The 22,587-nt window shown below is 42.6% G+C and overlaps 1 protein-coding gene across 52 annotated transcripts in view; it reads right to left on the bottom strand.

The window, feature by feature from the left end:
- The window catches only part of RBFOX1 (RNA binding fox-1 homolog 1), a 2,473,620-nt gene that overhangs the window by 188,652 nt on the left and 2,262,381 nt on the right, over window positions 1–22,587 (bottom strand). For 47 of the 52 annotated variants that reach the window (NM_001415887.1, NM_001415888.1, XM_017023318.3 and 44 more), the window contains one exon: window positions 6,300–6,542. In NM_001415887.1, coding sequence (NP_001402816.1) covers window positions 6,300–6,542 — 243 coding nt within the window. Of the gene's footprint in view, window positions 1–6,299; window positions 6,543–14,376; window positions 14,568–22,587 lie in introns of those variants that run through there. The other 5 variants (NM_001415911.1, NM_001415902.1, NM_001415917.1 and 2 more) reach the window with 1 other exon arrangement.

The following is a 22,587-nucleotide window of genomic DNA, read 5'->3' as shown; positions in this document are numbered from 1 at the left end:
TTTTCCCTGTCAGTAGAGCCTCCAGCTCAGGAACCTAGCTGGGGCACCCACATTCCTTCTCCAATCAGGGCCTAGAGCTAGTGGGAAAGTGGTGGGAGCCGTTTCAACAGACTGCAGAAGCGTTAAAAATAGAAGTTAAGTTGCTGTTGGAGATACATGGAGAATTCACCACTTGCAAATCTCTAATGATAATATGTCAAGAGTAAAATACCTTGTCAGGAACAGTATCTAACATAATACAGTATTGGCTCTGTCAGCAATGTGATCCGTGATATGTTTGGAGGCCTACATGAAATAGAAATTCAGCAGAAAAAAAGGCCTGCAGGGACTCATCTCAGCCTGTGGGGAACTAAAAGGATGACCTGGTAAGTCTTTTCTGTCTGCATTTTACTGAGCTCTGGTTGGGAGCTCTGGGTGCATCCTCCTTCCCTTTTACAGATTCTGCACTTTGTGTTAAATCATGTGCATATATTAGATGTTCTTGGAGGCCACCAGATGGATGGCTGGTTTCTCTTACCCAAAAGTACTTAGTTTCTCAAAGAAATAATGGCCTCTACGATGTCCTTAGAATGATATTAAGCATCGTGGATACATATGTCAAAGAAGAGTTAGAGCTATTCCAGGTACAGCACTATCCTATGGGGAATGACCTAGGTATCTCACAATAGTAACTTTTTGTGCAAATACAGGGTCATGGATATAGGGTGGGGAGAACCATAGTTCTGACCCACTTTGAGGTTAAATTCGTTCCACAGGAAATTCAGAACCTGGAGTGAAGACAAGGTACACCCCATAAATGTAGGAGGAGGCAGAGACAATTTGAAGTAAACTTGTCATAGACCACGTTCTGCTGGTGTAGATCAGGAAAGGATAACTGAAAAGTCACATCTCCTTTTTGGCCAAAGAGAGATGAGTATACAGATGTAATTGTTTGTAACAAAAAACGAGACAGCCCCTTTATGATTCCCGCACTTACCCAATACCAGTTCAGAATATAAGTCTTAAAACTTCCTTCAGGATCAGCCCCAAAGCCCACCTGCTTCAGCCCCTAATGGCTGTCTTTCCTTTAAAATCCTACCTCTAAGAGTGTGTACCATCCAAACATTGCTGGAGAAGACAGAGTAGACAGCTAACCGGTCCACCATACATTTACATTCTCCAAATTCGGGCATCCATTGCCATTCAAATACTCTAGGAATTATCTAAGGCAGATTTCTGACATGTTTGCCCAAGTTCAGGAATCCTTCCTTTGATGATGCTGCCTCCATTCATGGAAAAAATGAAGGCAATGTAGATGGAACTCCTCACATTATCTCTTGACTTGAAAATTTCTCTGCATCCTCACACATTCACCCTTCCTTCTCTTCTGTTTCAAAATTGAAGTACTTCCAAATGTCAGCAGATTTATTTCTCCATTACCCAAAATGAAAAACAACCCAAATGCCCATGTGTAGGTAAATGGAGAAATAAACTGTGGCATATCCATGCAGAAACAGTACTCAGCAATGAAAAGGAAGGAGCTACAACCACATGCAACAATATGGATGAATCTAAAAATAATGATACTGAGTAAAAGAAGCCAGACAAAGAGAGCACATAATGTTTGAGGTTACTGATATAAAATTCTAGAAACTGCAAATTAAGCTATAGCAAAAGAAGCAGACCCACTGGTTCCCTGGGGATGAGGCAAGGAGGAGGAGGGGAGGATCAAAAAAGAGCAAGAAAAGACTTTGAGATAATGGACAGATTCATTATCTGGATAGCAGTAATGGTTGTGCATGCAGGTACATTTGTAAAAATGTATCAAAGTGTATACTTTAAATATATACAGTTTATTGTATGTCAACAAAGCTGTTAAAAAGTGGTTTCTTTTTTCCTAGACTACCTACTATTTCTGAATACTCTTGATCCTATTCCTTCTTATCGCCTATAAAACACTTCATCACTTTCTTTCCTGCACCATTATTCCCTATCTCTTGCTTCCTGTCTTTTGTGCCCCACGTAGGGACCTTGTTGGCATAAATTAGTTGAATCTAAATCAACTATCCTACCAACTGCTTTCTCTGACTTCTTTGCTTCTCAGATGCAATCTCTTCTTTCTCCTCATCACTCCAAATATTTATAACGGGCAATGCCCACCCACTCCAACATATCACAGTTATTCCTCAACTCTTGTCCCTTCTGCATCTCTCTCCACTACTCTAGCAAAACTATTGTCTTCTAGGTCTTTAAAGACATCCAAACTGTCACTTCAATAATGTCTTCTCAGTTTATACCCTCCAGGCTGTATAGCCCAACATTCAACTGGTTGAATGCCCAATCTGAACATCCCATTGATGTCTTACTCAATAGTTCCTCTTCCTTCAAACCCCACCCCGTGAGCTCTCCAATGTTCTGTCCTTGTCTTTCTCTTCACTCCCTACTCTTGATTAACACCAATTCAAGCTTCTTTGTACAAAAGGTTCACCATGCTACCTTTAGCTCGGACAAGATTCTGTCTACTTCGTTTCTTTAATGATTTATTCTGAAGGCATCTCATCATGAACTCTGATGAAATGGTCTTCATTCCATGTATTTGGATATGAAGCTCCTCAGTGACCCCAGGGCTGGGACACTCAGTACCAGCCTCAGCCACTGAATGAAGATAACACCACACAAGCCAGGAATGGAGATTGATTCCCACGAGAGGGCTTATATGGGATGAATCCAAGAGCTTTTCACAGGTGGTGACTGGAGCCTGAACTTGCAGGACAGAGCCAGAGAGCTGAGGTGAGGACGAGGAAGCCAACTCAGGATGGTTTCCCATTAGAAGCTGATGGACACGTTCCAAAAACCAGGCTGTGTCCACCCTCCGCCTGGACTTTTTATTGTATGGGCCAACATGCTTCCTACTGAGTTTTCTCTTTCCTGTAACCAGAAGTCTCTGAAAGGTATAACCCTCTGACTATGATTTTGAAAATGTTTTCTCCTACTGTCATTATGATAGATAAAACCTGTGAAAATCTATATGCTAGAATTTGGCACGTTATCATAATTAACAGAAAACAAATCCTATATTCTCCTAAGGCTCTCCAAGGAAAGAGAGCTTGTCTGCACATCAGATTATCTTGCTGCAGTGCCTGGGGCACTGTGGACACCCAACACGCTATTTAAATTCAATTGTGTTGATCTCTAAAGTGTTCTTTTTGCAGGGCAAAGATGTGGAGCATCTCAGCTCCCCAACTAGATTAAATTTCCTTTAAGCTAGGCATCACTAACCCTTTCTTTTTATGTCTCATTTCATAACTCTTCTGGCTTAAACTCTTTTTAATGGTTTCCCATTGCTTATAACGTGGAATTTCAACTCCTTATTGGACCCACCAGGTCTGTAGGATGTCAAATCCCTGCTAATTCCTCCCGGTTCATCTTTTGCCACATCACCTCCAAATCCCCTTCATCATGCCCAAAACATACTGGCCTCTTCTTAGGACTTTGAGTGAGCCCAGATCTTTCCAACTTTAAGACCTCTGACTGTGGTATTCCCTCTGCCTGGGCTGCTTTGTCTTACCACCTTAAGCATCATCTCCTTGAAGAAATGCTCTCAGACTACACGTTTGCAGGTAGCACCTCTGTTCTTTTTTAATTTTCCTACGGTACCCATATTTTCCTTAAGACATCTATCACACATGCTATTTGCCACATGCTCAGTTTCTGCCTCTCATACTAAGTTACAAGAGGTAAAGATCATTTTGTTTTGTTCAACCATGGCAGCTAGTATGAATCCTGGCCCTAATAGAAGCTTAATAAATATTTGTGAATAAATAAATGAATACGTAAAATTTCCACAGCAGTTAGCTTAATAAATAATGTCTGATTGGATCTTTTTTCAAAATCTGAAAATAACCTATCCAGGCATTACTACTATTAATTGTCACAAAATAGCCAACAAACAGTAAACAACATCCCCATCACTACTACCTGGTAGTCAGCGCAAAAGCAACAAACACCTGCTGAACCAGCAAACTCATTTAAAAGGCCCATGCCTAAGGCACAGCAACTAAATACAAAAAAGTCGGCAGCAGGAGTGTTCAGAAGAACCAGAATGTGGAGACAACCCAAATATCCATCAATGGACTAATGAATAAATAAACACGGTCTATCCATACAGTGGGGTACTCCACATGAATGAACCTAGACAACATCGTGTTAAGAGAAAGAAGCCAGACACAAAAAGCTATCTCCAAGGCAGATTGGTGGTTGCCAGGGGCCGGGGAGAGGGAGAATGGGGAGTGTCTGCTTAGTGGGTATGGGGTTTCCTTTTGGGGTGCTAGGAACATTCTCAAACTAGATAATGGTGGTGGTTTTGCACTACATTGTGAATACACTGAATGCTATTGAAATGTGTACAGGATTAAAATGGTTAAGTTTTATGTTATATGTATTTTACCACAATAAATTAAAAAGGGAGGAAGGCAACTAAAAATTTCAGAATGTATACCATTTTTTTAAAAAATCTTCAAAACTAGGCCGGGCGCGGTGGCTCACGCCTGTAATCCCAGCACTTTGGGAGGCCGAGACAGGCAGATCGCGAGGTCAGGAGATTGAGATCATCCTGGATAACACAGTGAAATCCCGTCTCTACCAAAAATACAAAAAATTAGCCGGACATGGTGGCGGGTGCCTGTAGTCCCAGCTACTCGGGAGACTGAGGCAGGAGAATGGCGTGAACCTGGGAGGTGGAGCTTGCAGTGAGCCGAGATCGCGCCACCGCACTCCAGCCTGGGCAACAGAGTGAGACCCCATCTCAAAAAAACAAAAACAAAAACAAAAACAAAACGTCAAAACTAGCCTCCAAATGAATGAGGTGGCAAGTAGCAAAGTTAGTCAGTGTTTTCTTTTATCACAGGAAATGTATCATGCTTCAAAGCCATAAACTCCTTCACAAATACTTGCTTTCCTGAGGTCTTGGGACAGGACGAAGAGGCAGAATTGCCTTACACTCAAAAAATGTTCCAGACGACAGGATTGGGGTTCCCAAGCTTCTAAAGAATTCTGCAGAAAAAGGTTCCCAAATGCATGTTCCATACAGGTTTTGTGGTATGCATGATTACTTTAGGTGGCACACAAATGAACATTATTTAATTTTATGATAAATATTTTCATTTAGAGTTATATTTGATTAATGATCAAAACACCAGTTTTCATTTACAGTGATGATAAAATGTTTCTGTTTACATGCCTGTTTCTAATCCATTTCATCATTTGTACGCAATAAAATTTACTCTTTATGGCGTATAAAGTCATGTAACCGTCACCATTAAGATACAGGACAGTTCCCTTATTCATCAAAATTCTCTCACCCTGCCTCTTTCTAGCCCCTGCCCTTTGGTCCAGCAATAAAAATGAAGAAACCAGGGACAAACACCGCAACCTGGATGAATCTCAAATGTATTAGGCTAAGGTAAAGAAGCGAGGTTCAGAGCTCTGAGGTATGAATGAGGAGTGGCTGCAAAGGGGCACAAGATTTGTATTTAGGCTGATGGAAATGTTCCGAAATTAGATGCATCCGGCAATCATCGCACAACTCCGTAAATATGCTAAAAATCAGTGAACTGTACACCTAAAAATATACTAATTTTAAGGTATGTAAATTATAATTCCACAAAGACTTTATTTTTGTTTATTTAGAGACAGAGTTTCACTCTGTGACCTAGGCTGGAGTTCAGTGGAGCAATCTTAGCTCACTGCAGCCTCAAACTCCTGGCCCCAAGCCATCCTCCCACCTCAGTCTCCCAAGTAGCTGGGACTACAGGCATGCACCATGACACTCAGCTAAATTTTAAATTTCTTGTAGAGATGAGGTCTCACTTTGTTGCCCAGGCTATTCTCGAACTCCTGTCTTCAAACGACTCTCCCATCTCGGCCTCCCAAAGTGCTGGGATCACAGGCATGAGCCACCACACCCAGCCTCCGTAAGACTTGAAGAAAAATTATCTTACATCAAATTTTTTTTTTCCAAAAAAATGAGATTTCATTGGGATGACATTCTAGAAAGGCAAAACTATAGGAATAGAAAATTGATAAATGTGCCCCTTTACAAATAAATGAAATTAATTAATAATCCGTTGATTTAAATGAACGCTAAGAATGAATGCATGGAAATGAGGTAAACTTCAGGAAGCTGGTATGATGAGGGTGGGCTTAGGGACTGATCTGTTTCCCAGAGTCCCTGGGTAGATGGGGGTGCACCCCCGCTGCCATTACCAGGGCTGGGGGCGCCTCCCCATAACCTCCCACCCGTAGCAAACACGTCCACTTACTGTGGCGGTGCCAGAGACGGTCTGAGCGCTCGTGTCCGCCGGGCTCTGCTCGGAGTGCGTCTGGGCGGGAGGGTACAGGTTTAATGTGTGCTCGGGAACCGTGGTCTGGCCTGTGTACTCTGGCGCGGGGTGGGGATGAGGGGCCGTGTATTCCGCGGGGATACCGTTCTGCGGGGGAGCAAACTGGGCCGAAGCGTAAGGCTGAGCCATTGTGTCAGGGGCAGCGGCTGCTTCCTGATTACCCTGAAAAATCAAAAAGGTGCAGAGAGGGAGAGAACGTCATGAGGAGCCACCATGCAGAAACCTTCCTCCCAGATCCCAGGACGATCGTGCCCCGCGTACTTTCTAGGGGTCACCATGGTGCCACCAGCCTGAGATGGACCAATCTCAGGTCATCTTCACCAGACCCTATAAGGAAACAGTAACCATCACTTCTCCCCATTTTACAGATGCAGAAACCGAGGCTTGGAAAGATAAAGATAAAGTCGCTTTTTCCAAGCCACCCAGCCTAATATTCAAAGACATGAGGGTCTGTGGCTTTACTAGATTGATTTTTTTTTTTTTTTGGCAGATCCTTTTTATTTCATTCCCATTTTGGAAGCTGTGAGCATTTAGTTGTCTGCAGTGACAGCAGAACCTTGATTTGATACTTAAAGTGCCAAGAGAGACTAAATTGAACGTGTGTGTTCTTGAGAGGAGAGACAATTTATGTAAGCATTTGAATTTAATCAAAGTTTTATGTGACTTGGCTCACATAATGGGAATAGGGAGTATCCTTTTAATGGTCCCAGTGTCTGTGTGGTTGTGTGTTATGTTGTGTGTGTGTGTGTGTGTGTGTCTGTGTGTGTGTATGCGTGTATGATGTCCCCAGTGCCAAAATGAAGCAGCTGATACAAATTCAGGGCCTAATTTGGACAAAGACTGTCCTCTCTGACATCCCCATTTTAAGCATTTCTGAAAAATATTGGATTTAACTCTCAGTCTCATTAGTCAATGCCTCTCCCTCCCTGCCTTATTTTTTTATGAGCACAGAGTATTATATAACAATTCATTCTTCAGATCTAGGCAAAACAGGCAGTGTGACAATTACAGCCAACTCAGAAGAATTTTAAAAACACACACAACAAAAACCTGAATACAAATGCTTCCATTTCAGGAAACAGCTCTCTCTCTTTACCTCCTCCTCCACAGTTCTACCACAACACACACACACACACACACACACACACACACACACACACACACACACACGGCATAAGAAATTGTAACCCAAAGGTCTAAACTTTCCATGGTCTCAGGAGATGGGATCACACAGTCAGAAAGACAGAGCGAGGAAAAAAACTTAGCAATTAGGCACACCAAATAGCTGCCTCTCCTATTGTCTGTGGTCAATTAGATGTGACTTTGGCCCTCATATAATGATACTAGGGCAAAAATATCAGAATTTCTCCTTATCTCTTCAGTACTTGCCACCAACATCCGAAATCCTCTTTCTCTAAAGCAATTTGAGTGCAGCAAAAACATGATGACAGAAAGAAGAGAGGAAAAAAAAAAAGTTTGTTCTCAGAGCAGCACACGGAGCTGGTGCATTTGTTTAGAAGGGACCTTAATTAGAATGTTAAAGATGACACTTGGAAGAGAACTAAGCTTAGGATAAGTTTAAACATTTTACAAGTAAATCATTCCCATCAGGCTCTTCCCTCCTCCAGACAAATTTCGCCAAATGTCTGTGCCACTGGAAACAAAAGGGCACGAGCATTTCTTTCTCTTTCTAACATTTTCCCATAGCACTGGGGCCATGGAGGGTGTGCCTATGTTGAGGCTGAGTTGCTATCCATGAGCAGTTAACCTTGTCCATCCTTGGGAAGCCAAAGAAGACATGCAGTGATACTGCTGGTCTGTCTCCACTCCTGTTTCTTCAACAAAGCCCCAGTTTCCTTTTGGGGGACAGTCCCACTTTCAGCCTGTATGGTGCAGATACAGTTGAACCCAGCTCCCAGTCGCTACGAGATGAGCCATAGGACATCAGCCTGGCCAATCAGATGGTCCCACTGAGATAGTCCCATGGATTTGCGTTCATGCACATCTATCTAGTGAGTCCGTTAGTGCGTTAAGCCCTAGTCACACCACTGAGTCCCAGTCACCCTGGGATTTTGCTGTAGTTTTGGGGAAGAAGTTCTCTTTCCACGGTGATGGGCAGCTGTAAAAACATCATAAGCCTGGAGCTGCCAAGAACTGACACTTAGGGTGGGCATGTTGCCTCATGCCTGTAATTCCAGCACTTTGGGAGGCCAAGGTGGGTGGATCACTTGAGGTCAGGAGTTCGAGACCAGACTGGGCAACATGGTGAAACCCTGCCTCTACTAAAAATACAAAAATTAGCCGGGCATGGTGGCACATGCCTGTAATCTTAGCTACTCCGGAGACTGAGGCAGGAGAACCACTTGAATGTGGGAGGTGGAAGTTGCAGTGAGCTGAGAGTGCACCACTGCACTCCAGCCTGGGCCACAGAGCAAGATTCCGTCTCAACAACAACAACAACAACAACAACAACGAACTGCCACTTGAAGGGGACCTCCCTACACGTGAGGCCAACCTAGAGGAAAATGAAGAGAAGAAACTGAGGAACAGAGAGGTTTCTACTGAGTCCCAGTGACGTCATTTGAAGTGTTGAATCCAGCTTTACCCGCAGTCAGCACCATCCCTGTTTGTTGTAGTTACACAAGTCAGTAAATGTCCCATATTTTAACAGCTTTACTAAGATACCATTAACATAAAAATTATACATGTAAGGTGTATAACTTGATGTTTTGACATATGTATACATTGTGAAGTGACCACATTCCAGGTAATTAGCATATCCATCACTTCTACATGATCTCCATTTGTGTGTGTGTGTGTGTGTGTGTGTATGTGTGTGTGGAGAGATTTAATTTAAGATCTATCCTCTTAGCACACTTCCAGTATATAATACAGTATTTTTAACTCTTGTTTCCATGCTGTACTTAAATCTCCAGAATGTATCTGTCTTGCAAAACTGACACTTTGTACCCTTTGTCTCATTTTTTAAGCTACTTTTTCTGTTACTTACAACCAAAAGGGTCTTGACTAATTAAAAAAAAAAAAAAACTTCTGCTGTTTTATAACTAAACTAGCATCTTTTCTTTTTCTGGGCTGTTCAAGGAACATATCCTTCTGTACAGAAATTTCATAGCGATGCCACTTCTCTATGGGTGATGAAAAGCCCCAGAAATGTTGGGATCTTGGGAATCATCTGATGAGAAATTCACTGTGCCAGAGGCAGCTTCTGCTCAAAGATCTGTTTCTGCCTCCCCAACCTTCTACCTGGCCCATCTCTGAAGTGAAAGGTAGACTTGTGTAAACTCTTACAGGGAAGCACAGAATAACCACATAAGCAGTGGTACAGACAATGATCATATGAAGACAAAGGTTTCCCTCCTCCACCTCCAGCAGAAGATACTTTCACCAGGAACATATATAACCCTGGGGCTTTTCATCAGTGCAGAGCAAGCTCAGGAAAAGTGGCCCATTCCTACTAGTTCTTGCAAAAGAGCTAAGGCTCCTTGTAGACTTCGAGCTATCTCTGTATTGAAGAGAGAAGGGTCATGCCTTCCAGAAGCTTATGGTCAGTTAAGGGAGAAGAGCTCCATCCTCTCAACCCCATCAAGTCTTCACATTTACTGCCCCTCAGCTTGGAAAGCCTCACCTACCCCCTTGCCCAACTAGTCCTTACTCTTCCTTCAGTCCGCATCAAGAGTCCCTCCTCCAGCAGGCTTTCCTTGATGCTGAAACCTGGTCAGTTGCCCATCCCCTCTGCTCCACTGCAGCTGGTGGCCACAGCTCACACAGCACCAAGCACTGCCACAGCCTGATTATTTGTCTGTGAGCTCCCTGAAAACAGGACACTGTGCCACATTCCCTGTCCCATCTCCATGGTCCAACAGCATACTAGCTGCAAAGTGGACATTTATAAATGTTTGCCAAGTGAATATGTGCTGGAAAAATGACCTCTGGGCTCTGTAAAGCCTAGTCTGGCAGCAGGAGATAGGGTAGGGGGATGAAGAGAGGACCTAGCAAACGACTCATGAGGCAAACCTGGCCCAAATTTTGTTTTTGTAAATAAAGTTTTATTGGAACACACCCATGCTCATTTGTTTACTGTCTGTAGCCGCTTTTGTACTACAAAGGCAGAGTTGGATAGCTGTGACAGAGACTGCCCAGCCCACCAAGACTGAATGATCTATCATCTGGTCCTTTGTGGAAAATGTTTTCTAATAGCTGTGGCAGAATGTCATTAGATATGGGATCACCAGTTAAGAAGCCATTATTGCATAAGTAGTTTGGGCAGGAAATAAAGCAGGCAGTGAAGTAGAAAGAGAGAGAAAGGGCCTGTATACTCTCCAAACCAAAGAGGGGTGATAGCTAGACTTGGAGACTGGCAATATTGAAAATGGTGCAAAAACAGTGGGTCAGAATCTTTTGGGGAATTTACTTTCCATCCGCAGATCTTTGACCTGTAAACTCACAGGCACACAGGCTTTAAATCTGCATAAGTGGGCTTATGAGCAGAAGGTTCATGATGGCCTCAGACTTCCATGAAAAGCAGCCCCTTCTCCTCACTGGTCCTCAGAAGAAAACCTAATAGGTGGCAGGCACTGTGCTGGGCGCCTCATACCGGTAGTTCTTACAGAGGTGTGATTGCTCCCCACAGGACATTAGGCAATGACTGGAGACAGTTTTGTCACAAATGAGGGAGGATGTGCTACTGCCATCTAGTGGGTGGAGGCCAGGAATGCTGCTAAACATCTTACAGAGTATACGACTACCTTGAACCACAAAAGACTGTCCCGCCCCAAATGTTAATAGTGCCAAGGTCCAGAATCCCTACTTTTCATGCAATGCATCTCTAATCTCAATTTACCTTGTCATCAAAGATGCTGCAGACCAAAGCTGGGAAATAATTATTCGAGGCCACAGTCACAGGTAGTTGTTAGGGAAGCCAAGAGTTAAACCAAGGCATTTCTCATCTAGCAAGAGAATCACCTGGTGGGGAGTTCACTTCATTCATTCATTCATTCATTCATTATTTTTATTTTTATTTTTTTGACACAGAGTTTTGCTCCTGTTACCCAAGCTGGAGTGCAATGGTAGGCTCTCGGCTCACTGCAACCTCCGCCTCCGAGGTTCAAGTGATTCTCCTGCCTCAGCCTCCTGAGTAGCTAGGATTACAGGCACCCGCCATGATGACTGGCTAATTTTTTGTATTTTTAGTAGAGACGGCGTTTTACTGTTGGCCAGGCTGGTCCCGAACTGCTGGCCTCAAGTGATCCATCTGCCTTGTCCTCCCAAAGTGCTGGGATTACAGACATGAGCCACCGCGCCTGTCCACTTCCCATTTTTAAATAAGCAGTTCCCTCTCTATCACACACACCATGGACCTGTGTTTAGCTGTTGGTGTGTTACTCCCTGTGAGGAAGCCAGGGACTAGGGTATTTGATTCAAATATGCCAGCAATTCCAATGGCCAGGTTGGGTGGGTGACCATTCGAAAGGAGTGGGGCAGCAGCCTGGGAAACTTCTGCACTACCTCAAGCCTGACGCCTGACTTTGAAATGCCTTGAGGCTATCCGAGGAAAGGCAAGGGCCAGCTGGGGGCACCACTGGTGCCAAAGCAAGCCACCCACCTCTACCATGAGTTGTGCAATTCTGGCAAACACAGAGCACCATGCTCTAGGGACTGAGTCCATGGTAGCCAAGGAGCCTGCAGTTAGCATCCAGGAACATGGGACTCCAGATTTCATCCTGTACCTGGAGTTCTCAAACAGATGTTGGTGGGACCCCCTACAGTTACTTATTAACACTGACAGCCGTTCCAGAGAGACCCTAATTAATATTCCCAACATTTGCACTTTAGGCTAATTACAGCTAATATTTAATTAAGACCATTGTACTTCCTATGGAATTATTTTTCACCTTCAAATGGCTCCAGAGATGTCTTTGTTTCCTCCCTAGTGACATTCCTGGATTCTTAGCTTGGCTGAAATGTATTTTCTGGAAAAATACACTGACATTAAGGGCACCTTTTCCACTCCAGGTCACAGCAAATCCTAGGCACGCGAACAGGCTCCTGGGTTGGAAGCTGAAGCCAACTTCATGTAGGGGACAGTGACAGGCAAAATTATTTGGAGCATTCTGGCTAGACATTCCCTCATTTGCAGAAGCTGCCTTCTTTCTTCTACTCCAATGCCAAACCCCCACCTTTCCCTAAATAAGTGGAATGATCAGAGAGAGCTTCTGATATCTGCAGAGTCAGGGTGCTTGTGGGTGTTCCTAGTTGATGAGCAGGATGATCTGCCTCACAAGTGTTCCCCACATCATCAAGCAAATGCTTCAGGAGCTTTTGCAAACTTAACGTTTAATTTCAGTGCCTGGACTTTCTTGAGTTGTTGCTCAATACACAAAAGGAGGATGAAAGAAGGCCAAGATCTCACGCTTTAAGACCCACTATTGCTGCTGCACAACTGACTAGAAGCTTGAAATAAACAACATTTATTAGGATAAACAGAGAAGAAACTTCCTTGTCCTCAGTCACCAAACCTCTCAGTCAACGAGAGCAACTCAACGACAGCAGGATGATGGAAACCTGTCATTACTTAAGACACCCCAACGTGTAGCTTTCACTCCAGTTACCAAGAGCAAAAGGATTATTAAAATGCAACCAAGTCTGATTCATAAAAGCAAAAAAAAAAGTCATTTCAATTTAAATATTTTACTGAAGCATGAAATAGCCTGGCTATCATTGCTATTTTAAGACAAACACTGTAATCTGACTATTAGCATAGTGTGTTGACTCTTGTATGCATGCAATAAGAGGGCCACTCTTCTGATGCTCAGAGAATTTCTTTGGTCCCTGAAATATCCTGAACCCTGAATTTTCTCTCTGAAGTGGACTCAGGAGACAGAGTCAGAGAGAAAATAAGATGAGAGAGTTTTGTTGTTGTCGTTGTTTTTTCCCCAAGACATTGCCCTTCTCCCATTCGTTGCCCTGAGTGGTTTAATAAAGTAGTTTTGAGAAACTAACAAGAGAAACAAGAGTGGTAGCCAGTCAGGGTTTGCAAAACCTTTTGGCTCAAAATTGAAGGTAAACCGTATTTCAACTGAAAAAGAATCTTTAAGTGGCCGAACAGGAAATGGGTCTATTCTTTTCCATGTAACTACCTGACTTTCACTGAGAAGGCAAAGTACCAGCTTTCGTAGCCGTCCAGGTGGACTTTAAAATAGGCAAGCATTTTCCTGTGTGGGTATGTGTGTGTGCACACTCACACACCTGTATTTCCCCACCTTTATAGTCAAACTTCTTGAGCACACCCTCCCTTTCTGCATCTGGAATTTACTTGTCCCCAGTTTATTTCCTGCTGTGGAGAACCTCCTCTGGCCTTAACTCAACCCTTATAATGAAGACATGCACAGGAATTGTCAAAACCTAATAAGCCAGCTGATCACATATGCCCACACAGCCCAGGAAAGCAGCGGCTCCTGCAGTGGGACCCCCCACCAGCATGGACTCACTGGAGGAAAACTATCCATTCTTGATGGTTGCTTGCAGTTTTCAGTCTTGCTGACAGTTTGTTTTACTTTAGTTTAGGAGCATGGTCTACACCACTTCTCTGGCAAGAAATCGCGCATATTCAGAGAAACCCTCTTGTGCAGAAGTGAATTGAGCTAAACTGCATCATGCCCTAGGGGCATTCAAACAAAGAAGAAAAATGCAAAAGGACACCATTAACCTGCTGGTTCTAAGATCAGCTCAGTTCCACACATCAAGCAGAAAGCGCGCGTGCGCGCGTGCGCGCGCGCCCACACACACACACACACACACACAGACACACATACACACACACACTCTCTTCACCAAAACTCCTCTCCTTTCCCCGGGCATGATTCAAGCAGCAAGCTACGTGTCACCGACAGCACGGACTTAACACAAGAAAAGCTTTCAGCTTCATTCAAATCGCAATTTTGAGTGAAAGATTAAATGGAAAAAAAAACAAAAATACCTGCTGCACCATCCTGCTTCCTTTCTCCTCCATAAACTTAGCAGCTGTTCTTGTCCCACACCACAAAGCATCTGCCCCAAGCACGCCTCAATTACGAGCGAGGGTGTGCGCGCTGTGCAATGTGTGGATGATCGGGGTGTTGAGGAAGGTGGGGGGCTGAGGCCGCCTGGCTGACCTCCCCCTCAACATCTGACTGCTCCCAAAACCAACCCAGATGGCACTTTTTCTGCCAGGAAGGCCTGGCCCATCAATCACAGCTTGCTCCTCCTCTGGCTCCTACTCTCAGTTTCACAGCGCACCACTGAGCAGATGATTATATAGAGGAGGAAGGGAAAAAAAAAAAAAACCCACTGCTCGACCACATTAATAGCTGTTTAAAAAACATTAGAAATGCGATTCTATGCATCGCCTGGAGCTGGAATTTTTCATTACTAAACTAAATATATGGTATGCAAAGTTATAAAATCCAGCAGGGAGCTTGCTACTATCTTATTTTTTCTTAAGAGGGGAGGGCAAACATTCAGGGATAAAAGGGAAGAGACAGAGGATGGATGAAAAAAGTTTAAAGAGATAGAGAGATAGCAATAGGTAAATTTTGAAAAATACTGTGAGTACATCAAGAGAGCATGAATTTGTAATAAAGCTGTGTGGTTAACTGCAAATCGATCTTAAAAATACCATAACTGATGATGACTTGGAAGATTTTGAAATCCAGCTCTTTTGCAGACTGGCTGTGTAATCTTAGACAAGTTATTGTGATACTCCAAGCACTAGTTTTTGCTTCTGTTTAATGGGACCAATGATGAGTAGCTTCACCATATTATTGTAAGGATCTAATTAAAAATCACATCACCAAAAACCACACACAGACACAGACACAGACACACACACACACACACACACACACACACACACACACACAGGGCTTGGCTCCTAGTACACATTATGTAAACGAATTCATTCATTCACATTTAATGCAACGGTAAGCAAAATCCAAAACCATCTTTGTCCCTATAGACCTTACAGTCAAGTGCAGCAGCAGACTTCAAGAAACAAAAAATAAATACTAAGATGACCGCAATATTCCAGGGGTGACAAATGCTATCAAGAAAAAGTACAGGGGTCTTGCTTTCTCCTTTCCTTGGACTTTTGTCTTTTCATGGCTTATCGTTTTCTTTTCTCTCCCAGTGAGCAAAAACAAGAACTCATACAAAAAATTCCCCAGTGAAATCCCACATCAATGCCAAAGGCAGCCTCTTTATTTAAAGCTGCAAGTACTTTGTTCTTCCTTTATTATGAAAACTACAACAACCAGAGTGAAATGTCAAAATAATTTCAGTTATTATTTGCTCATGTCTTTCTTGCTTGTCAAGGGAGAGGTTTTGAGAGTCCCATGCACCGTTCCTACAGATAGCTGCTTATCACCAAGGCTCCTTGCTATGGAAAGAGAGATCTTCCCCTACTGGAAGGAATGGATGGGGTTTCTGAAGTGAATAAAGTTGTAATTAAATTGTATAACAGAGGAGGAGGTGAGGGTGGAAGAGACCGCCTGGAAGAATTCAACCTTTCTGCTTGTCTGTTTTGCAGGTTCTAGTTCAGGTGGCCCCTGGGCGAGGTTTTTCTTTTTAATTCCCAGCTCTACAAGGTTGGAAAGAAAATCTGGATACATAGTATTTGTGCCCGTCCTTACGTTTCCATTTCCAATCATACCTTGGGGATCTCTGCAATGCATCACAGAGTGAGAGTTAAAACAAGCAGCCCTTTCAGTTTCTTTAAAAGGATGTGTCAGCTCCCCTCTCTAACCACATAAACACAGAGGACAAGAGGCCCTGTCTCACAAGACTCCAGCTCAGTATGCGAGGACAGCAGCCATTCGCACAAACCATAAGCTCTTGTCCTCAACTGAGAGGCCAACTTCTGTCCTTCAACCTTGGAAAGAGAGACAAGACCAAGACGGACAATTCCCTGGTGAAAGCATTAATGTCCTAGGGAATAACGCAGAAAATACTCAAAAACAAACAACAACAAAACAACTGGCCGGGCGCGGTGGCTCACGCTTGTAATCCCAGCACTTAGGAAGGCCGAGGCGTGCGGATCGCTTGAGGTCAGGACTTTGAGGCCAACCTGCTAAAACTCCATCTCTACGAAAAATACAAAAATTATCCAGGCATTGTGGCAGGTGCCTGTAATCCCAGCTACTTTGGAGGCTGAGGCACGAGAATCGCTTGAACCCGGGAGGTGGAGTGTGCAGTGATCCAAGATTGCATCACTGCACTCCAGCCTGGGTGATAGGGTGAGACTCCATCTCAAAAAGAAAAGAAAAAAAAACTTAAATAGACAAAGAGTTAAAGAGTTTCAGCTGGAAACAATCAGATAGATGCAACAGAACATGGGTCCTTAGTCAGTGGAGCATGAGCTCCTTATGTATTCTTTTAAAAATAACAGATTCCGGCCGGGCGCCGTGGCTCATGCCTGTAATCCCAGCACTTTGGAAGACCGAGGCGGGCGGATCACGACGTCAGGACATCGAGACCGTCCTGGCTAACACGGTGAAACCGCGTCTCTACTAAAATTACCAACAATTAGCCAGGCGTGGTGGTGGGCGCCTGTAGTCCCAGCTACTTGGGAGGTTGAGGCAGAAGAATGGCGTGAACCCGGGAGGCGGAGCTTGCAGCGAGCCAAGATCGCGCCACTGCACTCCAGCCTGGGTGACACAGCAAGACTCCGTCTCAAAAAAAAAAAAAAAAGAAAGAAAGAAAAAAAAAATCACGTTCCAAGGCCTTCACACCAGACCTACTGCCTCAGAATCTCTGAGGGTGGGATCCAGGGATGGGCACTGTCAAAAGTTGCCCCAGATAGTTCTGATACACAATCCTGGAGAAAAATGTTCTGTGTTTTTTATTCTGTCAGTCTGATCTCTTAGGCTGTAAGACCCATGTAGGGGATCATCATACCAACATTCTTTAAATGAAATAATCTACACACATGAGAGAAGAATAAAATAGTTAAGAGTTTATATTGTTTCATGAAAACTTTATGTGGAGGAATGGGTTCAGAGTGTAAAATCTTTTATGAATTGGGGTAAAAATAAATAAATGGAAAAACACTATGATAGGCCAGGTAATTTCTAGTGTTACTATCTAACCTTTTAATGCTGTGACTATGAAATCAAAGTCAAATATTGAGGCATCAAGAGCATAATGGTGAAACTATTGGCAAGTCATTCAACCTTTATGTGACCCAGTTTCCTTATTCATAAAATATAAATAGTAATATATATTATTCTTCACAGTGAGACTCTTACGATGCTTTAGAGGGAAAAATCTACTGGAATGTATTTTATAATCTAGAAAGTCCTGTATGCACATATGTCCCACTGTGGGGATAAAACTGATCCTCCTTCCAGTCCAGTGAAGTTCTTCCTCTGGAGAACCCAGGAAGAAGGGATGTGTGTTGGACTCTAACCTACTTCAGTGAATACTAAACTCATTATGGTACCTTTGGCAGATCACATACCTCATTATGGTACCTTTGGCAGATAAGAAAACTGAGGTGCTAAACAAATGGAAAACACTTTCCAACACATGGATCTCGTACATTAGTAAGGGAAAGAACCCGAATTTTAACACAATCTTATTATGAGTCTTATTGAAGAATTCTTGTTACTGAATCCATAAGAAGATAAAAGCAAAGATGGTGGTGGTGGTGATGATGATGATGATGATGATGATGAAGGTGATGGTAATAATGGTGATGGTGATGACGATGTCTGGTAACGAGGAAAAGAAATCTTTTCTTGCACACCAATTATGAACTGATTATTGTTCTAAGCACCAAGCATACAAAATTCAATAAAGTAGCTTTGCCTACATTACCTCATTTAACAAGAATCCAACACACCGCATATTTTTATCTTCTTTTTCAAGCTAGGTGGGATTACTTGCTCATGCTCACACAACTTGTTAGTGCCAGGTACCCAAATCTGTCAGAATCCTACATTGTATATTCTTAAATACTTGGAGATGAATTCAGATCTGACCTCATTTAGATAAACATATAAACTTTTGTTCTGGTAACTATGCCAGCTTACAGAAATTTTTTTTTTTTTTTTTTTTTTTTTTTTTTTTTGAGACAGAGTCTTGCTCTGTCACCCAGGCTGGAGTGCAGTGGGGCGATCTCTGCTCACTGCAAACTCCGCCTCCTGGGTTCAAGCAGTTCTCCTGCCTCAGCCTCCCAAGTAGCTGGGACTACAGGTACCCGTCACCATGCCCGGCTATCTTTTTGTATTTTTAGCAGAGATGGTGTTTCACCATGTTAGACAGGATGGTCTCAACCTCCTGACCTTGTGATCCACTCACCTCAGCCTCCCAAAGTGCTCGGATTACAGGCATGAGCCACTGCACCTGGCCAGAAAATTATCTCTTGAACAAAGAACTCTAAAGTTGTGCTGAAGCCATAATTCATAAAATCCAACAAACAACAAAGATGACAGAATCCATGTTACAGATTCCAGCAAAGCTACTTGTCTCATTTCACTTCTCCGGCTCAGTAGGGAAGCACAGAGAGAGGATGGAAGCCATCTTGCCATGGCTGACAAACACCAGCCTCAGAAACACAAGCCAACCGAGTGGGCGGTCGACTTGCAGTGAGGAGGTGTCATGTTTGCAAAATGTTCCATCCTGATTTTCCATTTGGAGTTACAGAAGGCAATGGAGAGGCTGTTTTTCTCAACTCTTTAAAAGTCACTGACAATAAAATATTTATGGTACTCTGTACAAGTCAGAGACCTGGATATGGCCACTTCTGAGGTGATAATTCCAAAGGGAAATATGTGCTTAGCCCTTAAAAAATGAGCGACATCCAGAACAAGTGAAGTTCCCAACCAACGGCATCAAGCACTTAGGAAGATGGAGTTTCTCACTTTTCCAGGGTCTCAGAGGACCCTGTCTTGCCACTGAAAACCTCTGTCAAAGTATGACATTATATACACATTTTGGTGTCCATCTCCAACTGGACTGTGAACTCTATGAGTATAGGAACCTTGTCTGGTTTCCTTTTTTTTTTTTTTTTGGTCCATCACTGTTGCCTCAATCATCTCAAAGAGTGTCTGAGGTGCACACACATGCGAGCACACACACACATGTACAAAAGCATTCAAAATGTTTTGTTGAATAAAAAATGAATCCCAAGCTAGTCTCTTCATTTTTAGTAGTACTGAGACATGTTCTGACTCACTCAGCACCTCGGGGCACTGAGAGCAAGGTCAAAACCATCCACCGTTGCCCTGCATTACTGAAAAAAGTTTCCCCATTAGAATATCCTAACATTGCACTGAAGCATTTCGCGCTGGAAAGGCATGCTGCGTAGGGCTTCACCTGTCTGTTTGCGAAATTGCTTCAAATGCCGTATTATTGCCTGTTATTAATACAAACTAACAGCCAGAACAGCTGGTATTCTTCCAGCACCTTCTAAGTATCAGACAATGTTAGTCACTATATATATATATATAAATATATATATATATAAATATATATATATATAAATATATATATATATAAATATATATATATATATATATATATATATATATATATATATATATAATCTCACTTCATCTCCACAGGAGCTAGAGTAATAAACTCATTTTCAGCACACCCACTTCACAGATAAGGAAACATAAAGTCTTGAAGTGAATAAGTGCAAATCCAGACCTCATATCTAAGTCTTTCGGCAACAATGAGGTCCTTTCCTTTATCTATAATTGACCTTTTTTTGTGGGCTGAGATAAGAGGTGATATTTGTGAGAGTTATGGTGGAACAATTCACCATAAAATATTTTTGAGACATTCTGACAAAGTCTTTTAGTATCCTAGGCAAAATTAGAGGTTGTCAAAAAGGCACAAGACCATGTTCCTGCCACCCTAAGATCCAGAACCCAGGTAGATTAATCACGTTAATGATGATAGTGTTACTTATAACATTCTTGATAATAACAATAATACAATTAGAAGGGCTTAAACCACATGCTTGCCACTGCCCTAAATGTTCTATAAATAGAACTTCCATCAATGCAACCCACAGCCCGATGATACGGGCACCGACTTTATCTTCATTTCATAAATAATAGGCTCTGAGACGCTAAGAAAATTATCTCAGGTCATGATGGTTCCATGAAGAAATTTGTACCAACCCAATTCTGAACCCAGAGCCTAGCCTATGACTGCCATTATTGTTAATTTTTTATTTTCAAATAATCATAGAGATATAATTATACAGAAAGTTTCAAAAAATGTAGAAGGTGATCTTGGGCACCGTTCATCCATTTTTCCCCGTGATAACCTCTTGCATAACTATAATACACAGTCAAGACCAGAAAGCTCAGCTGTAGTAAGTACTTGGCTATCAATACCAACCAACCATCACCACTGCCATCCATTCCTGAGTGACAGATGGGGCTGCCCATCACTGTCACAGATATACTTGTATGGACAGAAGGGCATATGGACAAGCAGAAAATCAAACCATGCAAATAAACATTGGCAAAAGTGAATTTTTGTAAGGGAAAGAACAGACAGATGCATTTTGAATTTTAATTCAATAGGGATTCTCCACCTCCTGGGTATGCGGGAAGCCTCAATCCTGAACAGACTTTCATAATCCATCTCCTTTCACCAGCCCACTTTTTCTAAAGGGGGAAAAGTTCTTGCTACTACCACCAGAGTAACATCAGTGTCAAATTCACATTCAAGATAAATTTAGATGACTTGTGCCATTGCTAATACTACTACATTTAACCAAATCCACAAGGGGAGAAGGATGGATTCTGTCCCCTTAAATACCTGACTTGCAGTTACCCTACAGATATAATTTGAGATAATATCGCTGTGTGACTTATTCCATCATAGCTGTCCAGAGTATTCTCTGCCTGCTTCTAAAGGAGGAAATTGATCGATCGAATGTGACACAACTTTCTTTGTAAGAGAGGAAGTCCTTATACATACAAAGAAAACCAAATCGCTTAGAGAGACAGCAACTCTGCCGTGAACGTTGCTGACTACGGTATCCCACTAAGAATGTCACCAAGGATCTCTTGCTAGATTTGGAAAATTGGCAGCATTAAGTCACACTAACGAAAGGATAATCAAATACTCTCCCCAATGGGATTAGGTTACAGATGACAGAATGTTCTAGTGAAGAGAAAAATAAACATTCTAGATAAAAAGTAGTGCAAGGAGTGGACGCCATAATCTTGGACATGGATAAATTTAGAATAATTTATTTATTTTTTTTGAGACAGAGTCTTGCTCTGTCACCCAGGCTGGAGTGCAGTGGTGTGACCTCAGCTCACTGCAACCTCAGTGTCCCAGATTCAAGCGACTCTCCTGCCTCAGGCTCCCGAGTAGCTAGGATTACAGGCACCTGCCACCACACTTGGCTAATTTTTGTATTTTTAGTAGACAGGGAGTTTCACCATGTTGGCCAGGCTGGTCTCAAACCCTGACCTCAGATGATCTGCCCATCTTGGCCTTTCAAAGTTCTGGGATTACAGGCATGAGCCAGTACTCCCAGCCAATTCAGAATCATTTCTTCTTATAACACATTATAAAGTTTTCTACCCATCATAAAAGTTTATGCCTCACCACATGTATACGTATGTAACTAACCTGCACAATGTGCACATGTACCCTAAAACTTAAAGTATAATTAAAAAAACAAAACAAACAAACAAACAAAAAAGTTTATGCCTCACTACCATGAATCAACATATCTTCTATTTCTTCTTCAGCCCCTTTTCAAAGCTGGGTACGTAAACATAGTCTAAACAACCCAATGGCTTTGTGGAGGCATGATATGGTGAAAACTTAGCAACCACCTGCCACCCCTACATTGTTTATAAAGAATGCACAAAGCCAAGCATCTGCCTGTATTTTTAATTATTCGATTTTCTTACATGAAACCAGAGACCTCCCACAATGTTGTAAGCTCCTTAAGGGCAGGTGCTTGTCCATGTATCTTTAATGGTTCCCTCTTTTTCTTCCGCACATAGTAATCAGGTGTTTGACATGATAGATATCGGTTGGCTTGCATTCGCCTCACTTGTAGAAAGATGTCTAATCTGGTTACTGCAACAGGCAAAGACGATAAAATATGACCTTGTCTTTCATTGTGTGTTGCATAAGTTTTAGCCTCTCATAGTTTGCCAGCTGAAAA

Source organism: Homo sapiens, chromosome 16, assembly GCF_000001405.40.
Source record: "Homo sapiens chromosome 16, GRCh38.p14 Primary Assembly".
Taxonomy (NCBI): domain Eukaryota; kingdom Metazoa; phylum Chordata; class Mammalia; order Primates; family Hominidae; genus Homo; species Homo sapiens.
This window is presented reverse-complemented; position numbering and strand designations above follow the sequence as displayed.